The following is a 16651-nucleotide window of genomic DNA, read 5'->3' on the forward strand; positions in this document are numbered from 1 at the left end:
TTATTACATGCAAGACCACAAGGTATAGAAAGAAACATAAGATATAATTCCTGTTCTCAATGAGAAGACAACCTGGTCGCAAAAAGATAGCAAGTGTAGAATATATTATGCTATTTTTCCTATTAGTTTATTTGAAGTTTTAGCTTATTTGATTTGTTCAGCTAAAGGATAGAATAGACCAGGTCACATATATTGCAACCAAAATATTTCAGTAGCATCCTCAAGACTAGGAAGAGATTCACATCACTGTGGAATATGCAGGAAATATCCCTGCAGATTTTAAAATATATTGTCGGATAAAACTATGCCAGGTCAAAGGAATAAGTCTCTCCATTCATGAAGGTAGCAATTTTCTACTTAGGATTTTACAGGTCTAGATGAGGAGGCAAAGGCTTGAAGATGGGAGAAAATTCCTATACCCTCCATTTCAAAGACTCTGAAAGGCTGGGTAATAAGAAGATACTCATTGAATGGGTTCATTCATTCAGCAAAGACCCTTCCAATACTTCTTGTATGCCAGACTTGATGCCAGGAGCTGGATCTGTGGGGTTTAGCTCTTGAATTTAGTCTGTTCTCTGAGTGGTTCATTACTGCAGGGTGGCCCTGTGTGCATGAAGTGACAACTCTCCATCCATTGCATGCTGGGAGACTTTACTTTTGTTACCTAGGATCTGCTCAGTTATACTGGGGAAACTGAAGAAACATAGCTGATTCAGTTAGTCACAAAATGCCAACAAGATTCTTAACTCTAGGCCCGGTGCAGTGGCTCACGCCTGTAATCCCCGCACTTTAGGAGGCTGAGGCGGGCAGATCACTTGAGGTCAGGAGTTCGAGACTAGCCTGGCCAACGTGGTAAAACCTCATCTATACTAAAAATACAAAAATTAGCCAGGCAGGCTACAGGCTCACACCTGTAGTCCCAGCTACTTCGGAGGCTGAGGCACAAGAATCACTTAAACCTGGGAGGCAGAGGTTGCAGTGAGCTGAGATCACTCCACTGCACTCCAGCCTGGGTAACAGAGGGAGACTTGGTTTAAAAAAAAAAAATTCTTAACTTTTGGATTCTCTTTGTCCTAGCAGTCTCATCTGACTCATGAGAATCTTAACTAGTTTCAGATAAAGATGAGCTATCAACCACAGGTAGATTTAATAGAAAAAATGGTGCTGCTTTCAAGCCCCTATTAGATTAACAGTGTTAACAGAGGTACTTTATAAGAGTCCTAGCAATGGGATAAGTATATTAAAGTTACCAGTCCTGCACCAACACACACACAAAACCCCCTTAGCAACAGAGATGACAGCTTGGTAATAGCAGCTGCTGCTTAATTGAAAACATTAGAAAAATATTACATTATATCTGTATTCCTTGTTTTTATGTTTATTTTCATCACGAGTGAGAAAATAACCCAGGAAGAATACAAAGGAAACATGAAACAAAGGTTCAAGACTAACAATGGTAATGGGTGAACTGTTGCTTGATATTTAGTTTCTGGGGACTCATTCCACATGTCCTGCAAATGAGCAGTCTTTTTTGGTGTGCCAAGGTCCAGAATTTCTCTCATAATGTTGAATTTAGTTCCTAATAAACCTTTTACATTTGATTAACTCAGAGGAGAAATGGCATACATAGGTGTCTTTGTGTACATCTGTGTTTGTGTGTTGAGGAAGTGGTGTTCAGATTTTGAAGTGCCTCTTCACATACAGAGATAAATGTGGGGCACATCATTATACTAATGTAAAGCTAGGAGTGCATGTTTTTGAACAATGACATGAGTCCAGCCTTAATAAAGTGACCCATTTACATCAAAGCCAACATCAATGTACAGAGCACGATTAGGAGAGAGATAGCAAGGAAAGAGGAGTATACCTGCAGTTTTATGCAAGCAGACTAAATTAAACAATGAACGCACGTGGACGCATTTGTGTCTTGAAATGTGAATCAGGAAGCAACCTTGGAATTTGCTGGGGCCCCCCATTTATTCAGACAGGATACTCAAAACTTTATATGGGTAGCTTAGAAAGCCAGAAAAAGGCAGGAGATTATGTTTATTTCAGGGCAATGATTTTTTTTCCCTAAACTCATGCCAAAAGTAATAGTACTAATGAATTTCATGGGCCCAAAACATTACTTGGCATGTAGTCAGGATCCATCTGGCCATTGGAAACCAGGCAGCCCCATATGCAAACACAATTTTCAAATGTGGGCAATGCACTGAAGGCTGTTTCTTCAAAGTAAATATCTAATGTTCTGTTTGATAGCAGTGAACTCACAAAAGAAACATGCTGCAGACTCATATGTCCAGAATCTCTATCCTGCAATTACAACTACTATGTTTTTTGCAATAGAATTTGAGCGCTTTTCAAGATTAACTAAATCCTATGAAAGAAAAAAATGCTATTCTGTAAGCTTCCTGAGGTCAAAAACTGTCTTATTTATTCTTATGTCTCCTATTACACATAGTGAGAAGTCTTGTTTTTTTTTTTTGTTTTTTTAGTTTTTTTCTTGAGACGGAGTCTCACATTGTCACTCAGGCTGGAGTGCAGTGGTGCAATCTCCGCTCTCTGCAACCTCCACCGTCCGGGTTCAAGCAATTCTCCTGCCTCAGCCTCCCGAGTAGCTGGGATTACAGGCACCTGCCACCATGCCCGGCTAATTTTTTGTATTTTTAGCAGAGACAGGGTTTGTATTTTCAGTAGAGACGGTGAACTCCTGACCTTGTGATGTGCCCGCCTCGGCCTCCCAAAGTGCTGAGATTACAGGCGTGAGCCACTGCTCCTGGCCGAGAAGGCTTTCATGTAGTAGACACACTACTAATAAACATGGCCATGAATCAAAAGTGAAATTGATATGCTACTGAAAGATTCAATGGAATGGCAGCTAAGGTTTTTTGGATTAATCAGAAATTCCAGTGTATTTTTAGTTGATTCATTTATTTCTTGGTTCAACTAATATGTAACAAGCATCTACTCTGGGTCAACCAAAGTGCTAGGCACAGGACTGAGATTTTTTACCCAACTCTTACATTGTTCTCTTGGATGACAGAGGTGGGAAAGATATTCTTCCCATGTCAATGACTCCAGTTCTTTGACTTACTAGTCAATAAACAAGTTTGTTATTACATAAATATTTTAGGTAAATTTGATTAATGTTGACAAACAGCATTTGAAAGAAATAATGCATCTGTATTATATTTGAGGCTTTACTGCCTTCACTCCTTGAGTCTGTGAAGACAGTAGAGACAGAAATACTTTTCTCAATATTCACTAGCAAGCCATGCAAAATTATTATAGTAGTCTCACCCTCTTAAATCATCTTAGAAATAGCAAGTGTCAATAAAGTAGATATATTAATAACCTGCTAATGAGATTATAGCGCTTTATGCACTCACTAATGTTGTCATATGTATCTTTATAAGGTGCTTTATAAATAAGAAAATACCTTGTTTTGATTTGAAAGAGATGTTTTCCTCCTCATTTGGCTTTTCAAGTTGAAGAAACGTGCCCCGGTTTTAAAAAGTAAATTAAATAACTTCCAAGAATACTGAACAACAGGATTACAAAATGACTAATTAAAAGTCACCAATGAAAGCAGTGGATACGTATGAATTAGGCTGATGATAACTCAAGGGTATATTCAAGTCGTGTTTAATATTTGGCTCATTGGTGGTGGAAATTAGTCGCTGAGTTCATACATAACCTTTCTGTGATACAAAGATAATAATTATATAGGAAATCTCATAATCAAATGGGAAGACATAAAAACTTAAAAAATAATCTCTTCAATGGGTTTATTATTGATTTACTATAGAGGTAGAAGTTTGCTCCACCCTTTTTCAGGATCTATTAGTGCTTCCAAGTCAGGAAAATAAATGGAGATTAAATATTTTAAGTATACAAACTTCTATCGGAAATCCAAATCGATAATGTAAAAAACTCAACTGAATCTTTGGAAAATGCTTTAAAAGATACATTAATGCAAGTTTTATTAAGGAATTGATTAACAAAAATTATTAAGTATAGCTCTTGTAGATTTCTGGTGTTAGAGTTGGAAATATTTCAGAAGCTATCTATGTCTAAAATAGTCCCTCGTTATCAATGCAGGACTCTTTTCTGGTACTCTTTGAGTCTGTGAAGAACATACAGATAAAAATACGTTTCTCAATGTTCACTAACAACCCATGCAAAATTATCATTGTGCTCTCACTTTTGATCATATATGTCCAGTAACCAAAAATAACTATCAATAGCTCAGCTGTAGTACATTCAAAACAAATTATATTTATGTCTTGCATTATTTGGGGTTTAGCTAGAGCTTGTATTCTAGAGCCATCAAAAGTCTCAAGCACAAAATCCTGAAGAGGTCAAATTATACAGGTTTTAGAAAGCCTTACTTTCGTTTAAAATAAAAAACTTCATATCTACACAAGGTTCGCAATTGCTAGAGCTCTAGGTTGCTGTACTGTGCTGAATTTGCCCAGTAATGATGGCCAATTACCCAAAAGAAAATGAGAAACAAGCCACGTTGAGAATTGTGAAAACAGGTGTGGTCAGGAGAACCAGGTTAGGTGCCCACCACTAGCCAGAAAAATACTCGCTTGCCTTTGGAGAAAAGTTTTGTTAATGTCTCTCAAGTCAAGTGTAAATATCTGCAAAATGGGAATTATAACGTTTAATTTTCTTGCAGAGTGATTGTGAAGAATACATGAGATAAAATTTGTAAAAATGCTTAGAATTGTTCAGTGATTGGTACAGGATCAAAATTCCAAAATCTGCCAGTGAATGTAACTGAATAGTTGGGGTCTCATTTTTGCTGTATCTGTTATAGATAGCATTAAAAGAGAAAAAATAATCTTTTATTATGGAAATGTTAATTGAATGTGATAAAACATCTCTTTAACCAAGGAGATATGTGAAAATTAATTAAATTTGACAACTTTTCTTCTCTAGTTATGTTCACAATTTTTATTCATGTAGCATGGTTAAATTGTATTTCTGAGATGGAATGAGAGACCCTCTAAGTTTCTATCAATTGCTCACTCTAAATCCATCATTGTCCAATGTGTCAAAAAGTGTAACTAAAATACAGTGCATCTCATAAAATAAATATATAATTATGTATCATAAATATTGTAAAATTTTTAAAAGAACAAATTTTAAAATGTATATTGTAAGACTTACATGAGCTTATAAAACTTAGATGCCAATCACATTATATAAGTACTATAAATCTTATGTAGTACATAAAAATTCTAATGGAAATTCAAGCCAACAGCATGTATGTCATATTGTCATGTCATATTACCGTATAGGATAGTGTAGTATAGTATTATATTACATTACATTAATCACATTGATTTCGGGATAGCTTTGCAATGAAAATCAGAAATGCTAAGGCATACTGTCCGTACACTGAGCAAAACTGCATTTTTGTTTCTAGGATACATTTTCATATCACCTAGAGAGATAATTTATTCATTGAATGCTAGATTTAAAATAATTTTCAGTTGATACTAGATTGAAAAATTGAAAAAAAATGCAGCAAAATAAGGTTGTTAAGGGTTTTACATGTAAGATTATATTATTTATGGGTATTAAAAATCTACCAAGATTTTACCTTAAATAAGAATTTCCCTTAATCTTACTGATTAAAATTTCTTCCATCCAAATTTATAAAAATAATCCTACATTAGGGTATTAAATCTCTTTCAGATAAATTATGCATGAGAAATCTGATCAGATACATTAGGAACTGAGAATGTTGATTATCCTATAATCTCTACATATTCATTTCTAATAAGGGGTAATTCCATTTAATGTAGTGATCCTTTTCCAGTTGGAGATTTGAATTTGATATCTCAGTGCTTATATTAATTCCAACATTTATGTGCAAGCATATTGATTCATTTGTGCAGTGGCGGTATTGGCTGCTTCAGGGGGCTCTTACATCAATCCTTTAAAAAAAACAGGCTATGGAAATGATAATGGATATTGTTACTAACTTTGTCATTTAAACATTGCTGTTTCCATTGCTGTTGGACGTTAGAGCCAAGGGCATTTTAAAAGGCCATATCCATTTCTGTAAGCATATTAACATTGTGAGATCCCTCCTGGAAATTTTAGAGGATTGTGTGTTAAGAGGAGGTTAAACTCATTTGAAAAGCTATGACAAACTTTTGGTTGGTTGTTAATCACTGTGATTTTAGCAAGTTGAATAAAAGTATTTTTTGCAGTAGGCTCATAACACCTCTGACAAATTTGCTGTCTTTAGCATTTTAGAACTATGACTCAGGCCTTCCCAGAAAAGGTGGGAAGGAAGGGATGGAAGTGGGGATGTGAGGAGGCTGGGACTTAAGGGGAGCAGAAGAGAAGAGGCAGGCACCAGGAGGAAGAAGCATCCCTTTGCTAATCACCCATCACAAGCAATGAAATTCCTCAGGCTAGGAGTCAGCCAGGTGCATTTCAAAGAGAAGTGTTGGAGGGAGAAAGTGTCACTCAGGCAGATATTTATGAAAGATGACAGTCTGCAAATATCTCAATCTTGGACAAGGCTGTGCCAGTGACATAAAGGAGTGCAGCAAAATTGGACGAGTCAGCAGCCAACATTTATTTCATCAAGACCTGTCCAATCTCCACTGATGGTTTGATAGTCTGGGGAGAGCAGGCATCAGTGGGGCTCATTCTGCCGGTTACTCTCAGTCACTTTGCATGGATCCGTCCAAAATGTTCTAATAAATATGTAAAGAAGGATAAAAAGAAGAATTTAGAAAAGCTCTGTTTGCAGAACTAGCACACGATTGAATTGCCTTTTTAGCTATGCCAAAGAGGAGGCTTAGTAATTACAGAAATATTGATTGCTGCTCCTGCCAGTTGACAGGAAGACAGGCCTGTGTCCTGCCAGTGTGGAGACCTTCACCCCAGTACAAACGCCCTGCAGGTCCAGGGACTTAAGAGGGGATCCCCTGAGATGCTCTGCCCCATGACAGCAGCCTCACTGCCTCTGATATACTGAGCCTAGTGAGCTTTGTTAGACATAGAAGTCTGTATTTCTTCCCCAAGGGGTAAAATACTAGACACACTGGCCTGAACAAATGCTAAAATAAATACCGGGGGTAGAGATCTTCCATACTATTTCTATCAAGCTGGAATTCAGCAGAGACATCAGAAAGAAATAGGCTTTTGGGGACAAGCAGGCTGTTTTTGACATTACAGTATATCAGAGGTCACTACCTGGCCAAACTCAACTAGCAGGTGTGTTTAGTTTGTTATTCAAAATTCTTTTCATGCACATATTTTATAAGTCATCATTAAAAAAGGAGATTTTTTTAAAATCATCATTAAAACAGGAGATTTTAGGTTCAAATCTTAATTTTAGGCTTCCTTGGGAGAAAAAAAACTAATAAGACAACATTGGGCGCATAATATTTTGGCCACAACTTGGAAGAACTGAAAAACGGCTGCTGTCTTTAAAAGATGTGTCATTCCCCACTCGCTCTATTTCTCCTGAAAATCAATGCTGAGGATCAGTTGTCCTTTACCATGAAAATCGTATCTTTTCTCATTTACTCTAGGTTTTATTTCACTTACTTATATTACCCATGTGTTAAGCATTTGAGTTTTGACCACAGAAAACAAACACACTAGCTCTGTTATTTGGATAAGTTGCAATCCCTCAGGTTCCTGATCTTTGAAATAAGATTAAGGCTGATTGTTTCATATGGTTGTTCATGAAGATTAGAGATATAGATTGGAAAAGCTCAGGACAGTGTTGGGCAGATACCAGACATTAAATAAATGCTAGTTTCATTCATTCTTCCCCTCTACTCCCCAGTCTTCTTAGAAGGACTCATCGGTAATTAAAAGAGAAAAAATATTATTTCATTTTGAGAGCTAAGTGTAGATAAGCAGTCTGCTTACCTAGATGTGGTATTTTAAAAGCTGTCCATACATTTTTGTGAGTCTTCAATCATCATAGCATTTCGTAAGCATCAGGCTATCACAGCAGTTCTCAGATTTGAGGGTCAATCAGAATCACCTGGAGGCCTCATTACAGCACAAAAACATTCCCAGAGTTTCTTATCCAGTAGATCCAAGGTGGGGCCCTGAGAATGTGTGTGTCTAATGGGTTTCCAGGTAAGTCTGATGCTTTGAGAAGCACCTGCTACTTAATTAGGGCTGGAATTCTAAAAGCTGGAAAAGAAGGCATGTGTTATACCCATTGCCTGCAGCAAAGACAAGTGAGGGACAATTCTTTTGTTGTTTGTTTGTTCTTAACAATTGTAACAAAGTCAAATTATTTGATCTCAGGAGTTTTTCTTTCTAAGCAATAGAATGGTTAAAGATCATGAAATGAGATAATGTAAATTAGATACATGTAAATCTAGGGAGCGTGACCACTACAACCAGAGATTTTGAGTTCTTCTAAGTTAATGGCATGATAATCAACATCCTCAAGAAGGAGCACAGTAGGGACACACGCTCTTAAATGCCAGCTGATGTGTTATTCTTATTATTATCAGTATTCATTATTTTGGTTGAAATGGTCATTAGTTTCTCCCTATAGGTAACCCTATAATTGTTAGCATTAGCCACCTGAGCTGTGTTTAGGGGAGATTCCAGTGTGTTTAGTTATTCAGGTAACTGTGTCACAACAGCACATTTCTAAGGATGCCAGACTTCTCTGTGTATTCCTCCTAGCAAAGTCAGCTGCAGATGGAGGTAGGTTAACTTTACAGAATACACAAAGCCCTGCTTCTACTTAGACTTTCTGCCATTCTATCAAAATAAAAGGTGAATTCAATTAAATGCCATTTTCTTCCTTCATTTATACTTTGCATTTCTCAGAATATTGAAAAATTAAAAATAAATGTGCTGTAATGCAGTTCTCGTTTCAGTCACGCCAAATTCAGTTTCATGTTTCCACCGTTTTGAACAATTTGGGGTCATCCCTGAATGCATGAAATCAAGCAAGTGTGCTGTGAGAGTTCTTACCCACTGGGAGCTAGCAGACAGTTGCACAGACTCATGCAGAGGCAAGTGTTCTATCACCCCACATCTCAGCAATTTGGGGTGAAGACGAATCTGGGCCACTTTTTAATTATTATTTTAAAATTTTGCTTTCCATCTTTTCACCTTTTAGCATAACTCCTCCTCTTCTGTGGAGTAAATGTGGCCCCTGGGGCCTCTAGGCTACTTCATGTTAGGGACAATATTAAAATATGCATATAACTGATCATATTTTCCAGAAGAAATACAGTTATTTGGCAAAATTTGTTTAATTGGGGCACAGGAGGAGGCCATTGCTTGGGACTGAGCTCCTGCACTAGGCCCCAACAGACCAAACCAAAATGAAGTCACTCATGCTAAATGCCACATGATCAAACTGAAGCTTTAAGGAAGTAGATGGATCCCCAAACAGAATAGTTTTCTTGAAAACAGGAGACTCCAGTCTACCTGAGTCCAAGTATTAAGAAAGTTCTCTCTGCTTTAACCCTTACAAAAAAAAAAAAAAAGTAATTTGATGTTAACCAATCAGCTTTTTTTTCTATTATTCTGTTTCCTTGCTCCCCGCTTACAGACCTCACTGTTCTGCCACTGCCCCGTGAGAGGTCTCATTCTATTTTGTAGAATGGAGTCTGTCCTGAATCATAAATTCTGCATAAAAGCCATTTAGATCTAAATTTGTTGCAATTTTGTCTTTCTAGAGGGGTGAAGAAGAATCTGAGTCACTCCTTTATTATTATTATTATTATTATTATTATTATTATTATTTTGCCTTCCATCTGGTCACCCTGTAGCACAAACCCCCTTCCTCTATGGAGTAAGTGCAGCCCCTGTGGCTTCTATGCAACATCATACTTGGGACAATAGTAAAATAAATATACGTATGTCCACATTATCAAAATAGAGATGTAATTGTTTTGCAATGATTGTTTAATGCAGGGAGAGAAACTGAGATGCTCAAAAGTCTCATAAAGAATACTAAATCTTAACATTCAGAAGGCTAGAAGACTTGTGGAAGGGTCTGTAGGTGATACCTCCTCTTTTCTACTCACAAATAAAATTTAACTGAACTTTCCTCTTCCTGCTGCCCCCGCGCTCCCCACCAAGCCAAGAGTGGAGGGCAGGAAGAAGTGTTTTCCACTTACCTTTCTATCACTATCTATTATCAATACCTGAAATGTCTTCCATCTGAGACTCAGAAACAGCACACATGTCTTCACTTTACTTTCCGTGGGAAATAGCATAGTCAGATGGCCACACCTGACTGCAGGGGAGGCCGGGATATGACAATGAACTGAGCAGCCATGCGCATAGCCAGGATAACTCTTCTAGGGAAGAAGGCGAACAGGAATTTTGTAGATAGCTGGCCATCTCTTCTTGACAGATGGGTAGCCTTGAGAAGTGGGGACCTCTGGATGATCAAATTGAGGTTGGTCAAGGTTGTTAGGGGATCCCAGCCTCAACGGTAAGGCTGAGGCCAATAACTTCTCCAACCCTAAAATTATTTTATTCTCTAAGAAAAATACCAACCTAAAGTAGCCTTCCCAGAGTTTCAATATGAAGCTTTAAAAGAATTCCTTCTGCTTCCTTTCCTGATTTTTGAAACTTCTTTTACTTCTGCTACTGCCCAATTACTCTGGGATCTGGAGCCCTTGAGTACAGACCTTTCTAATGGCAAGTATACCCAACACCATTTGAAATATTTCCTACATACTAGCAGTATATAAGAATGTGAAAAATGGTGATGTGTATCACTTGAAATCTTGTTTTTATCACGTCTATATTTTGCTCAAAATAACCCCAATGGACCAGTGTTTTTAGATATAAACCAGTTTATAGATACCAGGCCAACATCTACATTCCCTCATTCAAAAAACAAGAAAAATCTGTGGTCAGCAAATTTTTCAGGATCACTCCTCATCCCTCTACAATATCAATGTTGTATTCTATTGGCCTTATACCTTTTGAAGTTGTGCTTTGTTCAGGTTATTCCTTAAGGGATAATCCAAATAACAGACTCTTGAGTGCTTCCATCATCATGGTAGCCAGGAATTACTATATTTCCTTAGTGTTTCATTTCAGTTACATTATATATGTGGGATAAACATTCGTGGAAACTCAAATTTATCAAGAAATTCATACACTTATCAACAAATTCCTAATACAGTATGGTAATTCAGAGCTCTGTATATGAACTTAGGGAGATCCGGGTTCAAAACCAAATTCCACTACTTGCTAGCTGTGTATTCTTGGACAAATAACTTAAATTTTCTTACCTTCATTTACCTTATAAATCATGGAAGACAAAAATAGTATCTATCTGATAGAGTGGCAGTAATGATCAGCTGATATTATGTATGATTCCTTGATTAATATTAAACACTTGATAAATTTGACTATTTTTACTTATTTCATGTATCATTCATTACTCTCTCCTTATGTATACTTACATATACATTCATACTGATTGTCAAAGTTGTTTGTTTCACTTTTATTTTTATCTTATTGAGTAGAGAGGGACCTTAATGTTTACTGATTCAAAATAAGCCCAATGTTAGGATCTTCTCTACAGTGCCATCCAGCCACTGCAAGCACCACCCACGAAAAGCAAACACATTTTTCCATTTTACTGTGTCAGCAGGGAAACCTTTTCATATTCAAGTCTGCCTGTTCAAGTCTTAATCCTTACCTTTGGAGCTGCCCAGGAGAACTACGGTATTGTGCCATATAGCAGTAATTAAGATATTAAATTATGATTGTGCCAATAGTTCTCTTACTGAGGCTCAATAACATTGTATCTTCGTACAATTATATTTTCCTTTTATTAATCAATTTTATTTTAAGTTCCAGGGTACACGTGCAGGATGTGCAAGTTTGACATAGGTAAATGTGTGCCATGGTGGTTTCCTACACAGATCAACCTGTATTAGTCTGTTTTCACACTGCTATAAAAACATACCCAAGACTGGGTAATTTATAAAGAAAAAAGCTTTAATTTACTCACAGTTCCACAGGGCTGGAGAGGCCTCAGGAAACTTAAAATAATGGTGGAAGGGGAAGAGGCACATCTTACATGGCAGCAAGCAAGACAGTGGCGTGCAAAGGGGGAAGACCCCCTTATAAAATCATCAGATCTCTTGATAACTCACTTATTATCATGACGACTGAAGGGGTGGCCTGCCCCTCCACACCTGTGGGTATTTCTAGTCAGGTGGGACGAGAGACTGAGAAAAGAAATAAGACACAGAGACAAAGTACAGAGAAACAACAGTGGGCCCAGGGGACCGGCGCTCAGCATACCAAGGACCTGCACTGGCACCGGTCTCTGAGTTCCCTCAGTTTTTATTGATTATTATTTTCATTATTTCAGCAAAAAGGAATGTAGTAGGAGAGCAGGGTGATAATAAGGAGAAGGTCAGCAACAAACATGTGAGCAATAGAATCTACGTCATAATTAAGTTCAAGGGAAGGTACTATGACTGGACATACACGTAAGCCAGATTTATGTTTCTCTCCACCCAAACATCTCAGTGGAGTAAAGAATAACAAGGCAGCATTGCTGCAAACATGTCTCGCCTCCCACCACAGGGTGGTTTTCCTCTCATCTCAGAATTGAACAAATGTACAATCGGGTTTTATACCGAGACATTCAGTTCCCAGGGGCAGGCAGGAGACAGTAGCCTTCCTCTATCTCAACTGCAAGAGGCTTTCCTCTTTTACTAATCCACCTCAGCACAAACCCTTTACGGGTGTCGGGCTGGGGGACGGTCAGGTCTTTCTCATCCCACGAGGCCATATTTCAGACTATCGCATGGGGAGAAACCTTGGACAAGACCCAGCTTTCAAGGGCAGAGGTCCCTGCAGCTTTCCGCAGTGCATTGTGCCCCTGGTTTACTGAGACTAGAGAATGGCAATGACTTTTACCAAGTATACTGCTTGTAAACATTTTGTTAATAAGGCACGTCCTGCACAGCCCTAGATCCCTTAAACCTTGATTTCATACAACACATGTTTTTGTGAGCTCCAGGTTGGGTCAAAGTGGTTTGGGCAAAGTGGTTGGGGCAAAGCTACAAATTAACAACATGTCAGCAAAGCAATTGTTTAAAGTACAAGTCTTTTTCAAAATGGAGTCTCTTATGTCTTTCCTTTCTACATAGACACGGTAACAGTCTGATCTCTCTTTCTTTTCCGTACAACCACAGCATGGGGGAAACCGCCCCCATGATTTAATCACCCCCTACCAGGTATCTCCCTAGACACTTGGCGATTACAGGGATTACAATTCAAGATAAGATCTGGGTGGGGACAAAAAGCCTAACCATATCACAAACCATCACCTAGGTATTAAGCCCAACATCCATTAACTATTCTTCTGATGCTCTCCCTCCCTCCATCCCCACAACAGGCCCCAGTGTGTGTTGATCCCCCTAATGTGTCCATGTGTTCTCATCATTCTGCTCTCACTTATAAGTGAGAACATGCAGTGTTTGGCTTTCTGTTCCTGTGTTAGTTTGCTGAAAGTAACGGCTTCCAGCTCCATCCATGACCCTGCAAAGAACATGATCTCATTCCTTTTATGGCTGCATAGTATTCATGGTATACATGTACTACTTTTTTTTTCTAATTCAGTCTATCATTGATTGGCATTTGGATTGATTCCATGTCTTTGCTATTGTGATTGGTGCTGTAATGAACATACGCGTACATGTATCTTTATAATGAAATGATTTATATTCCTTTGGGTAGATACCCAGGAATGGAATTGCTGGGTCAAATGGTATTTCTGCTTCTAGTTCTTTAAGGAATCACCACACTGTCTTCCACAATGTTTGAACTAATTTACATTCCCACCAACAGTGTAAAAGTGTTCCTTTTTCTCCACAATCTCACCAGCATCTGTTGTTTATTGACTTTTTAATAATTGCCATTCTGACTGGCATGTGGTGGTATCTCATTGTGGTTTTGATTTGGATTTCTCTAATGAGTAGTAATGTCGAGCTTTTTTCATATCTTTGTTGGCTGCATGAATGTCTTCTTTGGAGAAGTGTCTGTTCATCTCCTTTGCCCACTTTTTAACGGGGTCGTTTGTTTTTTTCTTGTAAATTTGTTTAAGTTCTTTGTAAACTTTGGATTTTAGACTTTTGTCAGATGGATAGATGGCACAAATGCTCTCCCATTCTGTAGGTTGTCTGTTCGCTCTGATGATCATGTCTTTTGCTGTGCAGAAGCCAAGTCATTCATCACTGTGATCACCTTCATTGGAGAAACTCAAGTTCACTGGTATTTCCTAAAGTACAAAGAACAGAACCCAGCCCAATGTATCAAACAGACACAGATTATTGCAAAATACTAGTGTATCTGTTCCATCGTTGTAAGTACTATTACTTCCAGTTTTAAGTAATTTAAGAGTTCATTAGTAAATGCAAGCCCTCATACTATATGTAGGTCTATAATTAAAGTCAAGAAAAAATCCCTAATCACCCTCATAAACCACAAGCAAGCATAGTACTTACCGCAGCAAAATCTTTCTTTATAACCCTTCTTTTTCTCCTCCCAATAATCATTTTAACAGTTCATAACCATACTTCTCCTCCCAATAATCATCTTAACACATAAGTCTCAAATTATTCTGTTATAAAATAAAATAATACTATCTACATCAAAGCACTAATGAAAATCTAAATGAAATGAGGCATGTGAAATATTTAATAGAAGGTTCTATATTTTTTACTATTATGCTTTGGTTAAACCTGTATACCTTCATTTTGTACATAGGTTTTAAACCTAAAATATATCCCCCATTATGTATCATTCTTCAAAATAGCTCTACTGAAGTCTAATTAACATGCAGTGTTAATTAACATGCAATGCTTAAGGTGAAAAATTTAATAAATTTCAACATATGTACATACCAATGAAAGCATCACCACAAATAAGATAATGAGCATATCCATCACATCCAAACGTTTTCTCTTGCCCCTTGATATGGTTTTGCTCTGTGTCCCCACCCAAATCTTTTCTTGAATTGTAATCCCCATGTGTTGAGGGAGGAGCCTGTAATCTCCATGTGTTGGGGGAGGGAGGTGATTGGATGATGGAAGTGGTTCCCCCATGCTGTTCTTATGATAGTGAGTGTGTCCTCACGAGAGCTGATGGCTTTATAAGGGGCTCTTCCCCCTTTGCATTCCCTTCTTTCTCTTGCCATATTATGAAGAAGGTGCCTGCTTCCCCTTCTGTCATGATTGTAAGTTTTCTGAGGCCTCCCCATCCATGTGGAACTGAGTCAATTAAACCTCTTTCCTTTATAAATTACCCAGTCTCAGGTATTTCTTTATAGCAGTGTGAAAACAGACTATTATACCCCCTTATGACATTCACATGTTTTCATTTATCTTAGAAAAATTTCTAAGATGAGAATGGCTGGGTTACATGGTACATCTATATGTAACATTTATTTTAAGAAATTACTGAGATATTTTTCCAAGAGATTATATCATTTCTGTATCAAAGTCCATTTTTGTAGATGAATATCAAATTGTCAGCAACATTTACTGAAATAATAATTTTCTCAATTAAATTGCTTTTTCACTTTTGTCAAGAATTAATTGACCATAAATGCACATCTATTTTGAAACTCATTATTGTGTTTCATTAATCTAATTTTGTATCATGACACCAATACCACACAGTCTTTATTACTTTAGATTTATAATCAGTCATGAAGTCAGACACTACAAGTCCTTCAACTTTGTTTTTTTTCTAAGGTTATTTTGGCCTTTACATTTCCTGTGAATTTTAGAATTGACTTGCCAATTTTCACACATAAAAAATAAATAAAGCCAGCTAGGATTTTGATTAGGACTGAACATCAATCTACAAATGCATATGGGGATAACTGACATCTTAACAATATCAAGTATTCTGAGCCATGAACATGGTATATCTCTCCACACATTTAGATATTGTTCTATTTCTCTTAGCAATATTTTGTAGTTTTCAGTATTTAGCCCTTGCACAAATTCATTATCTCTAATTTTTAAATCTGTTTATGCTTTTATAAATGGCATTGTTTTCTACATTTTAATTTGCAATTATCTTGTGTTAGTATTAACATATGAATTATAATTAATCTATAATTGATCTTATATTCTCTAACTAAATAGTTAGATGTTATAGTAGCTTTTTCCTAGATTCTATAGGAATTTCTATGTAGATACTCATATTGTCTGGGAATAAAGTGAGTTTTACTTCTTCCTTTCCAATTTGAAAACCTTTTCTCTATTTTTCTTGTCATATTGTGCAGATGAGTAGCCTTCAATCTAATATTGAATAAAAGTTGTGAGAACAAACATACCTGTCTTTTTTTTTCAAATCTTAAAGTGAAAGTATTCACTCTTTCACTGTTAAGTATAATGCCAGCTATATGTTTATTCACAGGTATACTCCATCAGACTAAGTTTATTTCTTTCTGGTTTGTTTAGAGATGATAACAGTGATGAATGTGATATTTTGCCAAATTTCTGTCATCATTGATTGAGATGTGCATCAGATTACCTTGTTAATATTGTGTATTGCATTGATTAATTAATTTTTGAAAGTTAACCAAAATTGGAAGCCTAGGAAAAACATCATTCTTTATTATCCAATTTTT

General features: G+C 37.0%; 1 annotated feature.

Annotated features, from left to right (window-relative positions):
- Positions 11945 to 12157: a silencer, noted in NCBI's record as "fragment chr15:98172111-98172323 (GRCh37/hg19 assembly coordinates)". NCBI's record gives its function as "represses an EF-1alpha promoter that drives an FKBP-Casp9 reporter gene in an ReSE screen in K562 erythroleukemia cells {active_cell/tissue: K562}" and the evidence as "EXISTENCE:reporter gene assay evidence [ECO:0000049][PMID:32094911]".

The sequence above is a fragment of the Homo sapiens genome, chromosome 15, assembly GCF_000001405.40.
Source record: "Homo sapiens chromosome 15, GRCh38.p14 Primary Assembly".
Classification (NCBI taxonomy): Eukaryota; Metazoa; Chordata; class Mammalia; order Primates; family Hominidae; genus Homo; species Homo sapiens.